Source organism: Homo sapiens, chromosome 6 (assembly GCF_000001405.40).
Source record: "Homo sapiens chromosome 6, GRCh38.p14 Primary Assembly".
In the NCBI taxonomy this organism is placed as follows: domain Eukaryota; kingdom Metazoa; phylum Chordata; class Mammalia; order Primates; family Hominidae; genus Homo; species Homo sapiens.
The window spans coordinates 154,407,343-154,426,844 of record NC_000006.12 but is presented as its reverse complement, the minus strand read 5'-3'; the positions used below and the strand labels follow the sequence as shown (position 1 = coordinate 154,426,844).

Here is a 19,502-nt window from a genome sequence, read left to right as displayed (position 1 = left end):
AGAGTTGAAGTTTTGCAATCTAGCAATTTGATGATTACGTTGTCTGTCTTAACCAGACCAGTGTGTTTTCCAACTCTATTGGGTCTTCTTGAAGCAATTTCCCTCTTGGATCTGGAGCACTACAGAATTACTACTGGAAGGCATAGTACTTCCTTCCTCTTGCACCACCCCCCGTTTTAAAGAAAAGACGGGCCGGGTGCGGTGGCTCACGCCTGTAATCCCAGCACTTTGGGAGGCTGAGGTGGGCAGATCACAAGGTCAGGAGATCGAGACCATCCTGGCTAACATGGTGAAACCCCGTCTCTACTAAAAATACAAAATATTAACTGGGCGTGGTGGCACGCATCTGTAATCCCAGCTACTCGGGAGGCTGAGGCAGGAGAATTGCTTGAACCCGGGAGGCTGCAGTGAGCCGAGATCGAGCCACTGCACAGTCCAGCCTGGGTGACAGAGCAAGACTCTGTCTCAAATAAATAAATAAATAAATAAATAAATAAAAGAGTTCAATGACAGACTAAACAAAGCTGCTTTTGAATTAAATGAAATGTCATATGCCATTAATGATATATTCCCTGAATTCCTACCAGAATTGTAACACTGGCTAACAGACTCAGGGGCTGTCCTGGTATTCCCATGTAGGACTGTATGGAAGTCGTCTCAGGGAGTGGTGGCTACCATCTTGTTAGAGATCAAAAAAGAAAACTTGTCTTCTTCCATCTGGTAATCCACTTGAAAATGTCACTCATTCCTTTAGTCATTCAATTCGCATTTATTGAGGACCTGGAATGTGCTAGACACTAGGCTAAGTAAGTCTAAGTCTTCTAGACAAGCATGGGAAGTTAGGTGAGAGCCCACTTCTCCCAGGCTCAATCTGGATATTTTATTCTTAATGTTGGGTATTAATACACTTGAATGGCAGTAGAAAGTGCCAGCTCCAGGTCAGCTTTTGGCTATCACTTAAGGTTGCTATGACTTCACTGTCAGAATGTTTTAATGGAAGAAGCCTAGTATGGTGGGTAGCAGTGGATGAAAATCACCCATTGTTTTCACAAGTGAATTATGTCCATATTCTTCAATCTTGGACTTGAGGCTGAAGCAAGCAAGGCCTTCAGTCCATTTCTTTGAAGGTTACCTGAGAGGCCAGGATCATTCCAAAGTCAGACAAGCAGTGTCTGATGTTTCTCTTATTTCTTTTTTTGATGTTATTTTAGACCTTGACAAGAGTCTTGACACAGCCTCATCCATACTTCTGTCCTCCACCCCTGAGATCCGGTGGGAGTTAGATTAGCCTCTGAAGAATGGGTGCATTATTCTCTAGGTCATGACCCTTCTGCAGCAAACCAACACAAGCATCATTTTTCAGTAGTCCTCCTCATGGTGAAGATAGGCAAGAGCTACTGCCCTGGGCAGAATTTTGGTACCAAGCTCTCTCTTTACCAGTGTTCTGCCAAACACAACTCTTAATCACTTGATTGGACATTTGAGAAATGAAGGCAAAAGGATCCTTAGGAAGGGAAGTCAATTCAGGACATCAGAGCATGTTTTTTAAGATTACACATCTAGAGACAGGGACTTCCTAGCCTTGGGGCTATCTTTTGTAAAGTGAAGCTTATCTTAAATGAATCCTTTGCCCAGGAAGATTAACTGGACTGGACCGATTAGGATCAGAATTACTAAAGTAGGCCTTTAACTGTAGGTTAAGCATCTGGCACACAGGGACAAAAAGGAGCATAGATAAATTCATTTTTTAAGTGATGTAAGAAATCTGAGATGAGCCGGGTGCGGTGGCTCACGCCTGTAATCTCAGCACTTTGGGAGGCCAAGGCGGGCGGATTACCTGAGGTAAAGAGTTCAAGATCAGCCTGGCCAACATGGTGAAACCCCATCTCTGCTAAAAATACAGAAATTAGCTGGGCGTGGTGGTGGGTGCCTATAATCCCAACTACCCGGGAGGTTGAGGCAGGAGAATGGCTTGAGCCTGGGAGGCAGAGGTTACAGTGGGCTGAGATCACACCACTGTATTCCAGCCTGGGTGACTGAGCGTGAGTGAGACTGTCTCAAAAAACAACAACAACAACAACAAAAAAACAAAACAGAAACTTGAGATGAACATGGGCTGGTCTCTCAGGTGAGCACTGTCGGGTACGGTAGCAGGTTAAATGTTTTCACAAATAACTCACAGTTACCAGGGCCTTGTATGAGGCCTAGATAAAATCAAAGGGAATATTTCTACAGTTTAGGGCTGCTTGTTAATTTCCCGTTGAGCCTGTCACAACAATTTAGAGAAACTTCAGCCAGTGTGTCTTGGGTCTCATTGCTGTCCCTCTCCCTGTGTTCAAAGGTGCTATTTTTTGGATATTTGGAAATTGTTTGAAGATTTAGCCAGTAATGTAAGTTAGAAAATTAAATCCTCTATTCTAGATAATGTTTGATTAGAATTTGAAATCCAAGGTTTATCTTTTCTTCTTCTCTTAGTCATATATGAGATACCTTCAACATAAAGAGTTCTAGGCTAGGTGGCTGATATGAACAAGAACACCATGAGCAAAATATTTGACAAATGGATTATATCCCTTTATATTTCTTTTTTCTTTTCTTTTTTTTTTTTTTTTTTGAGACGGAGTCTCGCTCTGTCGCCTAGGCTGGAGTGCAGTGGCGCGATCTCGGCTCACTGCAAGCTCCGCTCCTGGGTTCACGCCATTCTCCTGCCTCAGCCTCCTGAGTAGCTGGGACTACAGGCGCCCGCCACCATGCCTGGCTAATTTTTTGTATTTTTAGTAGAGACGGGATTTCACCGTGTTAGCCAGGATGGTCTCGATCTCCTGACCTCGTGATCCGCCCACCTGGGCCTCCCAAAGTGCTGGGATTACAGGCATGAGGCACCGCGCCCGGCCTATCCCTTTATATATATTGTTGTTGCAGTGATGGTAAATTAATAACCAGCCGTTATTTGAAGGAAAAAAAGTCTGGATTTTGTTTTGACACTGAAGACTCATTTTTGAATGTAATCTGAAAATGAAAAGAAAACTAAATTCATTTTCTTTAAAGCAATTTCTGTTGCCACCAACTTTCTATTTTAACAGCATTGCAATAATATGTAAAAGAAGATAGAATGAGAACAACATTTAGTTTTAATAAGGAAACGAGATGACAGACTTACAAAGATGATTTTCCACGTTGAACAGTTGGTCAGCTTTTATGAGATTAATTTTGATAAGGATATGTGTAAGAATTTTTTTAGATGAACCAATAGCTTTTATCAGCCAATCATTTTGACAGTATGTCCAGACTGGGCGCGGTGGCTCATGCCTGTAATCCCAGCACTTTGGGAGGCTGAGGTGGGCAGATCACCTGAAGTTGGGAGTTCGAGACCAGCCTGGCCAACATGGTAAAACCTCATCTCTACTAAAAATATTAGCTGGGCATGGTGGCAGCCACCTGTAATCTCAGCTACTCGGGAGGCTGAGGGGGGAGATCCGCTTGAACCCAGGAAGTGGAGGTTGCAGTGAGCTGAGATCCACCATTGCCCTCCAGCCTGGGTGACAGAGTGAGACTCCGTCTTAAAAGCAAAACAAAACAAAAGACAGTATGTCCAGTCTCTTCCCGATAGATTAGCTGAACCTGGCTGTTCTAACAGACAAATTATCAGTTATAACAGACACTAATAAGATAGATAACACAGGATTCATGTGTTAAGGTCCTATAGACTGTGTAGTCTCAGGGGAATAAAGTGCATTGTTTTATTTTTCCTGAGAAAATGTTATTTCAGTTGCTAATTGTCTACAGAAGAAAGAAGAAATAAAAGCAGAAAGAAATAGAAGGTTTAAAAGAATTAAGGCAGGTTATTTTGTTTCTGTACAGTCTCCTGCAGACAGATCTCAGAAGATTCATGCTGGTGACGAAGTCATTCAAGTTAATCAGCAAACTGTGGTGAGTTTGTTTATTGAGGCTCAATTTTCCTCCTTAAAACTTTTAATTAAATCTAAAACCATTTTGTTTAAATTTTTAAAATTTGCCGCTTATATCCTATTTTTCATTATTTTAGGTTGTGCTAACATGAGCATACTTACGCCTGCCTATTTTGTTTCTATGTATCTGCTCACAACCCTGACTGCCCTGAGATAAATTCATAGGTTCGGTTTTTTTCGTTATTCATGAGCAAGTCTTCCCTCCCCATTTGCTTTCTTTGAAGGTGGGATGGCAGCTGAAAAATCTGGTGAAGAAATTGAGAGAGAATCCCACCGGAGTTGTGTTACTGCTTAAGAAGCGCCCCACCGGGTCTTTCAACTTTACTCCTGCTCCCCTGAAAAACCTACGGTGGAAGCCACCTCTTGTACAGGTATCTGGGATTAACTGTAAACCTCCATCCAACAATGTTGAGTATCTCATTAGTCTCCAAACAAAAAGAGATTAAAATTTGAAGGTGATTGATTGGTTTCAGGAGTTTGTATGTAATTATCCTATACTCCTGCCTATGTGAAAATATGAATTCTAGATCTACATGGAACAGTATATATAGTAGCCAGTAACCATATATGACTATTTAAAGAATGAGGCCAGGCGCGGTGGCTCACGCCTGTAATCCCAGCACTTGGGAGGCTGAGGCGGGCGGATCACGAGGTCAGGAGATCGAGACCATCCTGGCTAACACGGTGAAACCCCGTCTCTACTAAAAATACAAAAAATTAGCCAGGCATGGTGGTGCGCGCCTATAGTCCCAGCTGCTGGGGAGGCTGAGGCAGGAGAATGGTGTGAACCCGGGAGGCGGAGCTTGCAGTGAGCCAAGATCGTGCCATTGCACTCCAGCCTGGACGACAGAGTGAGACTCTATTCTCATAAAAAAAAAAAAAAAAAAAAGAATGAAATGACATTAAAAGTTAATCTCTGCATGATCACTGGCTACATTTCAGGTGCAGAATATTCACATATGGCTGGTGACTCCCATATCGGACAGTGTGGATACGGACATTTTCATTATTGCAGAAAGTTCCTTCTAGTCCTTCTCCTCTCTCATTTCAAACACATACCTACATAACTGTATACAGTTTGAACACTAATCCTGGAGAGACCACATGAGGTTGAGTCATCAGCAGCGCTTTACCAGGGGAGGGTTGGGGGCGGTGAGTGCAGCCCACCCCATGGGGACAGTATCACACCATTATTTAGACATTATGTAGTATTGCCAATCTGCGCTGATAATAGAAGACTGACTGAGTTTTATTTAAATTCCTTTCAAACGATATACCCTCTTATTGCCGACACCTGGGTGGATCACACTCACTGGTCACACTCCTTGTTATGCCATTGGTCCTTAGTGCTTATTTCATAAAGCAAGAATGAAAAGCAATAACCTTATAATGCCCTTTTATAAGATTGAGATTATGGTTTATTTGTGACTATTTTTGATGTTATTGTATGTCTTCCTATGGAAGAACAGTAGTCTTAAACCATCAACTTTGAAACTTTGTGAGACAAGGTACTGGAGACATTGTAGGTGTCACAGAAGAGAGGTTAAAAATAAATAACTGAGAGGCCGAGTGTGGTGGCTCACGCCGGTAATCCCAGCATCTTGGGAAGCTGAGGTGGGTGGATCACTTGAGGTTAGGAGTTTGAGACCAGCCTGGCCAACGTGGCAAAACCCCATCTCTACTAAAAATACAAAAAGTAGTTGAGCGTGGTGGCCTGTGCCTGTAATCCCAGCTACTCAGGAGGCTGAGGCAGAAGAGTTGCTTGAACCCAGGAGGCAGAGGTTGCAGTGAGCTGAGATCGCGGCACTACACTTCAGCCTGGATGACAGAGTGAGACCCTGTCTCAAAACAAAAACAAAAACCAACCAACAAACAAAAACTCACAGTAATAAAGGTAGGGCAAGAGGGGAACATAATTACAATCAGTTTATAAATAATGACCAAACATATTTTAAAATTCACTTTTTAATTGACAGATACAAATTGTATCTATTTATATTGTACAACACAATGTTTTGAAATGTGTTTACATTTTGGAATGGCTAAATCAAGCTCATTAATACGTTTATTACCTCACATACTTATCATTTATTTGTGGCAAGAACACTTAAAATCTACAAGTGTTATAGCAACTTAGCAATTTTCTAGCATGCAATGCATTTTTTTTTTTTTTTTTTTTTTTTTTTTTGAGACGGAGTCTCGCTCTGTCGCCCAGGCTGGAGTGCAGTGGCGGGATCTCGGCTCACTGCAAGCTCCGCCTCCCGGGTTCACGCCATTCTCCTGCCTCAGCCTCCCAAGTAGCTGGGACTACAGGCACCCGCCACTACGCCCGGCTAATTTTTTGTATTTTTAGTAGAGACGGGGTTTCACCGTTTTAGCCGGGATGGTCTCGATCTCCTGACCTCGTGATCCGCCCGCCTCGGCCTCCCAAAGTGCTGGGATTACAGGCGTGAGCCACCGCGCCCGGCCACCAATGCATTTTTATTAACTATAGTCACTGTGCTATACAATAGATCTCTTGAGCTTATTCTTCCTGGCTAACTGAAACTTTGTACCCTTTGACCAGGATTCCCCAATCCCCTTCCTTCTAACCTCTGGCAGCCACCATTCTACTCTCTGTTTCTAAGAGTTCAATTTTTTTTTTTTTTTTTAGATTCCACATATAAGTGAGATCATGTGGTATTTGTCTACATGTGCCTGGCTTATTTCACTTAACACAGTGTCCTCCAGGTTCATCCCTCTTGTCACACATGATAGGATTTCCTTTTCTTCTTTTTTTGTTTTGTTTTGGTTTGAGACGGAGTTTCACTCTCGTTGCCCAGGCTGGAGTGCAGTGCCGTGATCTTGGCTCACTGCAACCTCCACCTCCCAGGTTCAAGCGATTCTCCTGTCTCAGCCTCCTCTGAGTAGCTGAAATTACAAGTGCCCGCCACTACGCCCAGCTAATTTTTGTATTTTTAGTAGAGATGGAGTTTCACCATATTGGCCAGTCTGGTCTCAAACTCCTGACCTCAGGTGTTCCGCCCGCCTCAGCCTCCCAAAGTGCTAGGATTACAGGCGTGAGCCACCATGCCCCACGAGCATTTCCTTCTTTTTTTAAGGGTGAATAGCATTCCCTTGTGTATATACACCACATTTTCCTTATCCATTCATCTGTTGATGGCTGGGCTGTTTTGAAAAATGCTGCAGTGAACATGAGGGTGCAGATATCTCCTCAGCATACTGATCTCATTTCCTTTAAACGTGTATCCAGTAGTGAGGCTGCTTTTTAATTTTTCAGGAAACCTCCGTAGTGTTTTCCATAATGGCACCACTAATTTACATTCCCACCAGCCGTGTGCTAGGATTTCTACATTTCCACATCCTTATCACCACTTACCTTTTGTGTTTTGATAGTAGCCATTCCAACAGGTGCCAGCTGTCATCTTACTGTGGCTTTGATTTGCATTTCCCTGATGATTAGTGACACTGAACATTTTTTCATATCTCTGTTGGCCATTTGTATATCTCCTTTTGAGAAATGTCTATTCGGGGCTGGCTGCAGGGGCTCATGCCTGTAATTGTAGTGCTTTGAGAGTCCAAGGAAGGAGGATCGTTTGAGCCCAGGAGTTCAAGACCAGCCTGGGCAACAAAGCAAGATCCTGTCTCTACAACAATTTTTATTTTTTAAAACCAACTAGCTGGGTGTGGTGGCACGTACCTGTTGTCCCAGCTACTTGAGAGGCTAAGGTGGGAGGATTGCTTGAGACTGGGAGGCTGCTGTGAGCCTTGATTGTACCACCGCATCCACCCTGAGTGACAGAGTGAGACCTTGTCTCCAAAAAAAGAAAAAAAAAAAAAAAAAGCAAGAGAGTAATGTCAATTCAGGTCCTTTACCCATTTTTAAAATCAGGTTCTTTGTGTTTTGTTTTTTTTTTTTTTGCTGTTGAGTTCTTTGAGTTCCTTATATACTTTGGGTATTAACCCCTTATCTGATGTATGGTTTGCAGATATTTTTTAGGTTGACTCTGCCTTGTCAATTATTTCCTTTGCTATGCAGAAGCTTTTTAATTTGATGTAATCCCACTTGTCTGTTTTTGCTTTTGTCACCTGTGCTTTTGCAGTCAGAGCCAAAAGATCATTGCCCATAACTGAGCCTATTGATTATACTCCAGCTGTTTCTGTTGGCATTGGTCAGTGTAAAATTTAAACTTGGTTAGATTTTTTTGGATTTCTCAGAATATGATGCTTAACATTCCAGAGGCGCTAATTCCTTGTAGGTAATTGATGGAGTGCCTGTCAAATGCTTGCTCTGCCCGCTAATTGTTGCATAAGATAAATGTTGGATTCTGAAGGAGAGAGAGGTATGGACTGTGAGGTGGGAGCCTGGGAGGGTAGGTGGGATTTGCATTGGCGGATGGGAGCATGTATGGTAGAGGAGATGAATGCTATTCTTCAAACACACTCGCCCACAAAACATAGATAGACCACCATCGGGGAAGGGCGGTGTCTTAGATAAGGTTTCCTAGAGCAGAGTCTTAGGTGTACATCCTTGTGAAAGCAATTTTGAGGGTATGTGCTCCAAGTAAAACTGGTAAGGGAGAGAGAAAGGCAGAATGATGACGGGGAGGCAGCAAGGATGCCTCTCAGGTGCAGCGTAGCCTTGACCTACTATGCAGGACGAAGCATCCTGGTGGAGCCACACAGCTCCGGGTTCTGGTGGCCCTGCTCGGGCGAGGCAGCTCCGTCAGCTGAGGGCCATTCTTCTGAGAAGGGGCAGCTGTGTGCTTTAGCAGCTGACATTCCCAGCAGCGGGGGGTGGTAGTGGCGGTAGTGAGACTCTAGATGGGCTCCAGAGCTTCTACCAGAAGAAATGAGTAGCTCAGACTCTGTGGAGCTGAGGGTGGGAGATAAAGTTGGACTGGTTGCCTGAGACTATATTGGCAGGTATGGAGTGCCAGGCTGGGGAGCATGGGCTTTCTTCCACAGGTGACAAGTTGACAGCTGCTTTTACATTAATACCTCTATTACTCAGCTAGGCCTGCCATACGGGGTGGTAGAAGTTCAAAGTCAAGGAGTCAGTGGAGATGGCTTCATTCTGAGGACCCTCTCCTTGGTGTGCAAATGGTGGTCTTCTTCCTCTGTTCTCGTGTGGTCTTCCCTCCATATATGTCTGTGTCTTAATCTTATGGGACACCAGTCATGTCAGATTGAGCCCACCCTAATGACTTCCATTTTAACTTAACCACCTCTTTAGAGACCCTATCTCCTAATACAGTCACATTCTGGGTACTGGGGGTGAGAATTTGAACACAGGAATTTTAGGGGACACAGTTCAGCCCATAATAACATCTAAACATAAGAACCACCAAAAGGGAGGCTGCTGTATAAGGGTAGCTACAGGGCGATGTGGTCCTGGGCAAGGCTGGTGATGGGTGATTCAGTGAAAGAAAGACTAAGAATGCTGGAGGCCACTGGGAAGCACATCAGAAGGCCTCAGGAAGCAGCACAGCCTAGTGGTTATGAATGTGGCCTCTGAGTTGAACCACTTCAGTTCAGATCCCAGCTCTGCCACTTACTAGCTGTTGTGGGACCCTTAGTCAAGGTATGTAATCTTTCCAAGCCATGCTCTTCTCTTTAATAGTGTTGACTATTCGAAAATGTTTTGGGGTAAGGGTGAGAAAGGCCAGCAAGGCTAGGGAGAAGCAAGTGTCCAATGTGACAGGGAACCTGCGTGGTGACAAAAATTGGAAAGTCAGAAAAGAGGCCATTTGGAAGGAAGAGATGTTAGGTATTTTGAGCATAATTGAGTTTGAGGCAATAGAGGAAAACTCACATGGTTATGTTCAGAACATGAGTGAAAATAATTTTTAAGTTCAGGCTAGCGTTGGTCCCTTGACTTCTGGAAATTCACTTAAGAAGAGACACTGCGATGTTCTCTGGTTTGCCTACTTTCCTGCCAAGTCCCTCTAGCTGCAGTTTGGGGAAGAGGTGCTGGTGAGAGACAGAGACTCCTAATTTTGCTTGTGACACAGGGAGATAATTACCATCAAAATGCAGACACCATTTTATAGCTTAGTTACCAGGTGTTCTTGCGATGTGCCCAGGATATTTTCAGAATATAAACTCTGGTAGACAAATACTCTGCAGACTTAGTCCCCAGCCCTGGGGGTTTCTCTGTGTTCCATTCTTCATTATTCTTTGTACCTGGGCACCCACCCTTCTCAGAAGAGAGCTCTAAGTTGTTCAACATCATTACTGTTGTCCTATCATAGAAAAGGCATTCACCACTCTGTTTTGATGCCACACTCCTGGGAAATGAGAGTTACTGATATAGAAGTAATTATCAATATGTGTGTTTTCAGGGAGCATCAATTTTGTGGAAATGTTCTAGTTTACTTTTGCTTCTAAGATTTGGAGAATCTGGATCCTGGCCTCATGTTTTCAGATATGGTCCGAAATTGACATGTTGAGATGTCAATCAATTACAAATTGAGTAGAATTGATAGATTATGCATTAATGGCCACGGTTTAAAATATGGGGGTTCTACTCTGGAAGACTGAAAGCTCAGTCCCTGCCCCTGTGACTTGGTATCTCTCCTGAAAATGAGCTGTCCTCTGTGAATCTCCTGGTGGCCATGTCTAGCTCCGTCACACTGGCTAGTCAGTCCTTTCAATCCTTAGAATCAGGTCACAGTTTCACTTCAGAGATCTCTTCCATTACAACCAGGCTGGGTAGGGTTGAAGGGTAGCTTTTTGTTTTCGTTTTTGTTTTTTTTGGTAGAGACGGGGCTTCATTATTTTCTCTAGGCTGATCTTGAACTCTCGAGCTCAAGTGATCTACCTGCCTCAGACTCCCAAAGTGTTGGGATTATTACAGGTGTGTGCCCACACGCTGGGCCTAAGGGTACCTTTTTATGTCTGCCCAGGGCTTGGCACAGTCTCACTGGCCTTCACCAAATATTTCCCTGCCTTGACTCCAAGATTTCCTTGCTGTTCTTTACCAACCAGAAAAATCATTGTTGTCATTGTTAGATTGTAGAAGGTAAGATTGAAGTTCTCACATGAGATATTAAAAACCATGTCCTTTGAGACCAGTATCATAGTTCAAACTCAGCCATGTGGATTTGAAGTTAAGATTAACTCGTATATATGAATGCATATATGTATAAATAGTACTAAAATAAACGGTATAAGGTTGTGTATTTTCTATGGGAAAGCAGTGTCCTAAGTTGTTTACATGTGTTACCTTACTTAATTCTCACAGCCACCCTATGTTGGTGCTATCCTTGTCCCTATTTATTCTCATTTTATAGATGGGGCACAGAGACATTGTGTGACTTGCTCAACAATAAACAGCTAATAAGGGCTGTGCGTGGTGGTTCACACCTGTAATCCCAGCACTTTGGGAGGCTGAGGTGGGCGGATCACCTGTGGTCAGGAGTTTGAGACCAGCCTGGCCAACATGGCAAAACGCCATCTCTACTAAACATACAAAAATTAGCTGGGTGTGGTGGCACGCACCTGTAATCCCAGCTACTTGGGAGGCTGAGGTAGGAGAATCACTTGAACCCAGGAGGCACAGGTTGCAGTGAGCCAAGATGGCGCCACTGTGCTCCAGCCTGGGAGACAGAGGCAGACTCCATCTTAAAAAAAAAAAAAAAAAAAATGGGCAGCTAGTAAGTCTAGCCAGGATCACATCCAGAGTTCCAAGCAATACTCCTAGTCAATAGTAGCACTGCTACTGATTGCTTTTTCTTTTCTTTTCTTTCTTGTTTTTTTTTTTTTTTTTTTTTTTTTGAGACAGAGTCTCACTCTGTTACCCAGGCTGGAGTGCAGTGGTACACTCTTCGCTCACTGCAACTTCTGCCTCCTGGGCTCAAGCAATCCTCCCATCTCATCATCCCAAGTAGCTGGGACTACAGGCGTGTGCCACCACGCCTGGCTAATTTTTATATTTTTTTCGTAGGGACTGGGTATCGCCATGTTGCCCAGGCTGGTCTCGAAGTCCTGAGCTCAAGCAATCCATTGTCCACCTTGGCCTCCCAAAGTGCTGGGGTAACAGGCAAGAACCGCCGTGCCCAGCCTTGCTAGTAATTTTCATGAACTAACTCATCTAATTCTCACTGCAGCTCTATGCAAGAGATATTATCAGTATCACTCCTTTACAGAAGAGGAAAGGGAGGCCACAGATGTTTAAGTGATTTGCTCAGAGCTAGAGTCATAACCCTGGCACCTGGCTCCTAAGCCTCTGCTTCTTGCCACTATACATCGTCATTCAAATCCCTCAGCTCATTCTAAGGTTTCAAAGAAGAATGTAAGTTAAATATTGCCAATATCTGTAAACACATGAATGACCTCAGTCCCTGTTCAGACACGGGGTTGGTGTTGGTTTGGGGGAGGGGAAATAAACACCAAGAATCATCTCTGAATTGATCTCCACTCTTTGCATTGCTGTGTTACTCCTGTTTCAGACCTCACCTCCACCCGCGACAACCCAGTCCCCTGAAAGCACTATGGATACCTCACTGAAGAAGGAGAAGTCAGCCATCCTGGATCTTTATATTCCTCCTCCGCCTGCTGTTCCCTACTCTCCCCGGTATGTTGCTGTCCATTGTCATGGTATGCTTGTCTCCTGTTGGTGTCATTTGTAAATGGTGGTGTGAAAAGAGGATCTTGAGAGAGGAAGTTGCTGAGCCACAGTGTGACAGGGCTGAATCTTGAACTGCCGTTAAAAGTATGATCAGCCTTATTTTATAGGAGTGTAGGGACATATCTGGGTTCTGTGGGGCTTGAAGCTATACAGTTTGGTGGGGAGGGCCCTTCTGAGAAAAGAATATGGCAGTATTGGCCAGGTGTGGTCGCTCACACCTGTAATCCCAGCACTTTGGGTGGCTGAGGCGGGCAGATCACTTGAGCTCAGGAGTTCAAGACCAGCCTGGGCAACATGGTAAAACCTCATCTCTATAAAAAAATACAAAAATTAGCTGAGTTTGGTGGCAGATGCCTGTAGTCCCAGCTACTCAGGAGGTTGAGGCAGGAAAATCGCTTGAGCCTAGGAGGTGGAGGTTGCAGTGAGCAGAGTTTGTGCCATTGCAATCCAGCCTGGGTGACAGAGCGAGACCCTGTCTCAAAAAAGAAACAAAAGGATATAGCAATACCTTACTTTTGAAAAACGAATGAAAACGTGCTCTCCTGGGGCCTTGGAAGGGTCTATTGGGGGCCCTGCAGGTTAAGTTTCATTAACTCCATGGTAAATTCATCTTGAGGGGGTAGATAATAAGTATTTCTGTGAGATTAATGAGAGTTGCAGCTTGATTTTGCTGAGAAAGATGTGTTCTTCATAGAACTTGAAAAAAAACCTATGTGGCCAGGTATGGTGTCTCACGCCAATATTTCCAGCACTTTGGAAGGCCAGTTCAGAGGATTGCTTGAGCCCAGAAGTTCAAGACCAGCCTGGGGAATATAGTGAGGCCCCATCTCTACAAAAAATTTAAAAAATTAGCTGGGTGTGGTTGTGTGCACCCGTGGTCCTAGCTACTCAGGAGGCTGAGGTGGTAGGATCACTGGAGCCCAGGAGGTCGAGGCTGCAGTACAATACACCATGATCATACCACTGCACTCCAGCCTGGACAACAGAGTGAGACCTAGTCTCAAAAACAAAAAAACAAAAAACAGAAAAACTCAGACCTTGTGAGTGTAGGTATGAACATTTCATATTTGTGTGTGTGTGTGTGTGTGTGTGTGTGTGTGTGTGTACCATAAATTCTTAAAAAGATAGTTGCTTTCTTCATGGCTAACTTGAATACTGTATGGTATAATGAGGGTGGTATATAGAGTGTACAGGATGATTTAGGTGTGATCTAGGCTTATTTTTATCAACTCACATATTTATATATGTTGATAAAACTAGACAATCTGGCTCATTTATTCAGCATATCTTTCCTGAGTATTGGGTCTGGGTTACCCTCTGACACAAAACAGACTCGGTCTTTGACCCTACAGAACTGCCAGGGTCTTATTCAACAATTCAAGCATATATTGAGAAATATATGATTAGGTTATAATATTTCATAAAACAAAGTTCAGGCTGGATTTTATTACAGTGACATTTTACTTTCTATCAGAATTTTTTGTTTGTTGGTTTTCATTTGAAGCTGAGGTATTTGCTTCATTGTATTTCTTCTGCATTGGGTGCAGAGATTCAACATTGTTTTCCATTTCCTTGAGTCTTGGCTTACTCAGAACTTATTATAGCGTGTAGAGAATGTACCTCAGGTGATCGGGGCATTCTGGTTTGCAGGATCTTAAGTGTGTTTAAAGTTACAGGTAGTCTTTCCCTCTGCATATAGAGAGCATGACATTCCACTACTAATGTGTGGATTGTTCTATCAGAAACTGGAGGAAGGCACCCTCCCTTGATCCAGAATATTCTTGTCTGGGTTCCTGGAGTAGTGGCAAGAAAAGGGGTGCTGTGTACATAGTGAGAGATAAAGGAACCTGGGGCTAGGAGGAGAGCTGGATTAAACTGCTCGGGAAGACGCTTTTGAGAGTGCACACACACCACTCATGAAGGATTTTCTGAGGAATGAAAAATGGGAATGGATTACTGAGAAACAAGTCATGAGTCATGAAAGCTTTGTGAATGGGGAGTTATATGCCCGGTTTAAAGGTATGGAAGGAGATATATTTGTGGGTGGGAGGGGTAGGTGGATGCCATCCCACCTGGGAATACCACACACAGACATGGCTGATTAGTAGATTGCTTTGGGACTCAGTTGATTCTGTATTTTGTCTAGCAGTTTTTGTCCTGATTTGCCTAATGGAATTTACCAAGTGCAAAAAAACTAAGCAGCTGGTAACTTGGACTCAAATTAATCCTACAGTTTAAACTGACATGTAGATAGAATTAGAATGGAATCAGTGATCCAACTTTTGCTGGTTTTTGTAGTATTTGATTCAGAAAAGAATCACTCTCCATTGGTTACTATAAAGGTTCCTTTGTATCTTTTGACATGGTTTTCAAATCTAACAACTTCATAATATATCAAGTCTTTTTTGCTGGATTTTGGCAGAGATCCGACTCTTGGCATGAGCAACGTGGTTCGCTAGAGCATACCTTAATGTGTGATTGCTGTAGTAAATAGGATATTCAGCTACACACAGAAGCACAGGAAAACTAGAGCTGTCTTTTCAAAGCTATATTTGTTTGGATATTAAAAAAAACCCTGCATTTACTCTTCTTTTTTTTTTTTTTTTTTTTTGAGATGGAGTCTCGCTCCATTGCCCAGGCTGGAGTGCAGTGGCATGATCTCAGCTCACTGTAACCTCCGCCTCCTGGGTTCAAGCACTTCTCCTGCCTCAGTCTCCCAAGTAGCTCCTGCCACCACACCTGGCTAATTTTTGTATTTTTAGTAGAGATGGGGTTTCACCTTGTTTGTCAGGCTGGTCTTGAACTCCTGACCTCAGGTGATCCACCTGCCTTGGCCTCCCAAAGTGCTGGGATTACAGGCGGGAGCCGCTGTGTCCGGCCTGCATTTATTCTTATTTCATCACGTCATGGTATTTTGCTTATTTAATAGGATCTGTATGTATTTGAGCGGCAACTGGGGTTGACAAAAGGAATGCTTTTCCTCCAGTGGAAAAGGAGAATTTAAATTATCTTCTGTGTGCTGGAGGTAGCAGCACTGCTGGAATTCTTCAGTATGAGAACATCTTTGTAAACAACTTAATTATTGTCCATATTATCTTCCAGGGATGAGAATGGCAGTTTTGTTTATGGAGGGTCCAGTAAGTGCAAACAACCATTGCCTGGTCCTAAGGGTTCAGAGTCCCCGAATTCCTTCTTGGACCAGGAAAGCCGGAGACGAAGATTCACCATTGCAGACTCGGATCAGTTGCCTGGGTACTCGGTGGAAACCAACATTCTGCCCACAAAAATGAGAGAGAAAACACCATCTTATGGTAAGTTTCAAGTGTTTGTTTTGTTCTGCCGTTGGCCTTGACTTCTCCTCCCCGCCCCCTGCCTTAGTTGGAACTGTTGGATGAATTTGGCAGACTTCAAGAGTAATCTGAGGAAAACATAAACCTCAATGAAATTCTAAGTATGAGACCTTTATTCATCTCTGTCAAGCGGATCCTTGTTGAGTCATTACTCTGCCTGGCATGAAAGCCCAACTGGGTGAGATCATGTTACAGTTTTAACTTTCAGTGCCTGGGTTTTAGCTTTGGAGTTGCTTTGCTCTGTAGACTCACAGGCTCAAGTTTAATGTGCCTCTATCTTAGTAGCACTCTATTTCCTGCTATGGAAATACAGTGCTTTAAAATACTTTTATTTTAAAATTTGTTATTGCTTCTGTCTAAGTGGGTGTGGTATTGTGAGGTCTAAGTTATACATAAAGGGAACGGTTCACTAAAGTTCCAGAACTCATCAAACTTGTCACCTTCTTTCTCGTCCCTCTGAAGGCAAGCCACGGCCTTTGTCCATGCCTGCTGATGGGAACTGGATGGGGATTGTGGACCCTTTTGCCAGACCTCGAGGTCATGGCAGGAAAGGTACGTTTCATCCAAGCAAACCAAGGAACAGCAAATGGGGAGTGAACAGCCCCAGGGCCTGGTTTCACCTCTGTTTCTAAATGTGTTATAATAAGTAGACTGAGTACTTGGCCTTTCTGAGTCCCGTTTTCTCATCTGTAAAATTAGGACTGCTGAAGATCTTTAAGATCCTACTTATTTCTAGAATGGCAAAATTATATAATCCTAGTTAGTGATTGTAAATATCCTAATTAGCATTGAGTGCTGTAAAAAGGCTATAGACTTTAATGGTCTAATTTTTATTCATTTACTTTTTAGAGACAGGATCTTGCTCTGTTACACAGGCTGGAGTGCAGTGGCGTGATCATACCTCACTACAGCCTTGAGCTCCTGGACTCAAGTGATCCTCCTGCCTCAGCCTCCTGAGTAGCAGGGACTACAGGTGCACGCCACCACGGCTGGCTAATTTTTTTTTTTTTTTTGGTAGAGACAGAGTCTCAATATGTTGTCCAGGCTGGTCTCAAACTCCTAGCTGTAAGTGGTCTTCCTGCCTCAGCCTCCCAAAGTGCTGGAATTACGGGGATGTGCCACCATACCCAGCCAATAGTCTAATTTTTTAATGAATAGAAATAAATTATTCATTAAACAATCTTTTTCAAAATTTATTTTTAAAAATTGAGATGGGGTCTTACTATGTTGCCCAGGCTGGCCTTGAACTCCTGGGTTCAAGTGATCCTCCCACTTCAGCTTCCTGAATAGCTGGTGTTACAGACGTGTGCCACCATGCCCAGCTTTCATTAAACAATCTTATTCTAAATTTTGTTGCTTTTATTTTTGGAGTCTGTTTGATTTCTGATGAACAAACATGGATTTTTTTTTCTTCCAAGTCCTTCTTATGTTAGAAGGCAGTTACTATTTGAAAAGAAATTTGTGTTTAATTCACCCTGTAATCAAAGTCCCTGGTTATTATGCTGGTCTTGAGTGAAATGTTTTAAAACATTCTCATTTTATTGCCAGATTGCATTTGATTGTCATCATTGGCAGAACATTATAACATTGTTTTTGCAGTTGTTGAAACAAAGGGCAGTTGAAAAGTTAAAGTACAATAGGCTTTAGATAGTAAAAGGAAGAAGAAAAAATTCTGGAAGCCTAACCTTCCAAAGGGATTGATTGACCCCTGACCCTTTCTAGGGACTTGGTAAAGTTTGTCACCTAAGTACCCATATCACCTGTATTATGCTAAAGTGAAAAAGGGAAAGATGCCTGGGTACCTACCATTCAGGATCCCCTTAGTTAACGTGTGAGTATCCATGGAGCAGTCAGCAGGTGGCAGGGCTGTCCGTTGTTTAGATTTAGACACGTTAACATCTTCCTTGCCGTTCATCTGAGCCAGGGTTGAGCCTTTTATTTATTTTATACATGGAGAGATGAAGTGTCAGGGTTATGGGGTGTGAAATTGGGAAATGGAAAAATACTTGTTCCCTCCACTCCTCCTTGCATATTTTTCTTGCATGATTGTTTTGGAATAAAGGTATCTATCTATACACAGCCACTTAAAAAAATAACAGTTTTATTGAGATATAACTCTTTGCATGAAATTCAGCTTTTTAAAATATACAGTCAGGTGGGTTTTAGTATATTCACGGAGTTGTACCCCAGTTGCCACTATTCCAGAACATTTTTGTCACTCCAAAAAGAAACCTTGTGCCTTTTAGCAGTCACTCCCAATTCCGTCCTTCTTCAGCCCCTGACAGGCACTCATCTACTCTGTGGATTTGCCTGTTCTGGACATTTCATATAAATAGACTTATGCAACATGTGGCTTTTTGACAATGGGCACTTTTTCAATGTGACTGTTCCCCTTTCATTACAAAAGCAAAGCAAGTACATTGAAAAACATGGAAGGCATGAGAAAATAAAACTCAGCTGGAATCTGTTTCTCTGACCTAAGAAATAATCACTGTGAATGTTTCGTGTGATTTCCAGTTGTTCCTGTATTTACATTTATATACTTAGAAAAATGTGCAAAATGGGAGAAGTTGGCCAGGTGCGGTGGCTCACACCTGTAATCCCAGCACTTTGGGAGGCCAAGGCAGGCGGATCACGAGGTCAGCAGTTCGAGACCAGCCTGGCCAACATGGTGAAACCCCGTCTCTACTAAAAATACAAAAATTGGCCAGGTGTGGTGGTGGGCGCCTGTAGTCTCAGCTATTCGGGAGGCTGAGGCAGGAGAATCTCTTGAACCTGGGAGGCGGAGGTTTCAGTGAGCCCAGACCTCTCCATTGCACTCCAGCCTGGGCAACAGAGTGAGACTCCGTCTCAAAAAAAGGGGAGAAGTAAATATTCAATAATACTATGTAAAAATGAATATTATCTACACCATATTTGAAAAGAATATAGCCGTATTAGAATGCCATCTTATGGCTCTAGCGCCTATTTATTCAACGTGCCACTGTTGGAAATTTAGGTTTTTTTTTTTTTTTTTTTTTTTCAAATTCTAAAATTTGAAAAAGGCTAAAATTTTCTAAATTCTAAAATTTAGAAAACTTAGAATTTAGAAAATTTAGAAAATTCTAAAATTCAAATTCTAAAATTTGAAAAAGGTTTCAGTAGGCTAGGTGTGGTGGCTCATGCCTCTAATCCCAACACTTTGGGATGCTGAGGCAGGTGGATTGCTTGGTCTCAGGATTTCGAGACCGGCTGGGTGTGGTTGTGCGCACCTGTAGTCCCAGCTACTTGGGAGGCTGAGGTGGGAGGATCGCTTGAGCCTGGGAGATGGAGGCTGCAACTAGCTGAGATGGCACCACTGTACTCCAGCCTGAATGACAGTGAGACCCTGTCTCAAAAAATAAAAATAAGCATAAAAATAAATGTTTCAGTAAGCATCCGTGAGTCCATAGATCTTTGCACATTTTGGGGTGTAGAATTTCCGCTTCACAAGGATGCTACATGTTACCAAAGTGTACTGTATTTTAAGTTTCTATTCAGTTTCTTAACATTCCAGCCACATCCCAGGGGGTC

General features: G+C 43.0%; 1 protein-coding gene across 5 annotated transcripts in view; it reads left to right on the top strand.

Annotated features, from left to right (window-relative positions):
- CNKSR3 (CNKSR family member 3) overlaps nucleotides 1-19,502 on the top strand; it is a 123,171-nt gene that overhangs the window by 83,841 nt on the left and 19,828 nt on the right. For all 5 annotated transcript variants that reach the window (NM_173515.4, NM_001368117.1, NM_001368116.1 and 2 more), the window contains 5 exons: nucleotides 3,862-3,930; nucleotides 4,193-4,339; nucleotides 12,422-12,546; nucleotides 15,703-15,911; nucleotides 16,413-16,502. In NM_173515.4, the coding sequence (NP_775786.2) occupies nucleotides 3,862-3,930; nucleotides 4,193-4,339; nucleotides 12,422-12,546; nucleotides 15,703-15,911; nucleotides 16,413-16,502 (640 nt within the window). The remainder of the gene's footprint in view (nucleotides 1-3,861; nucleotides 3,931-4,192; nucleotides 4,340-12,421; nucleotides 12,547-15,702; nucleotides 15,912-16,412; nucleotides 16,503-19,502) is intronic.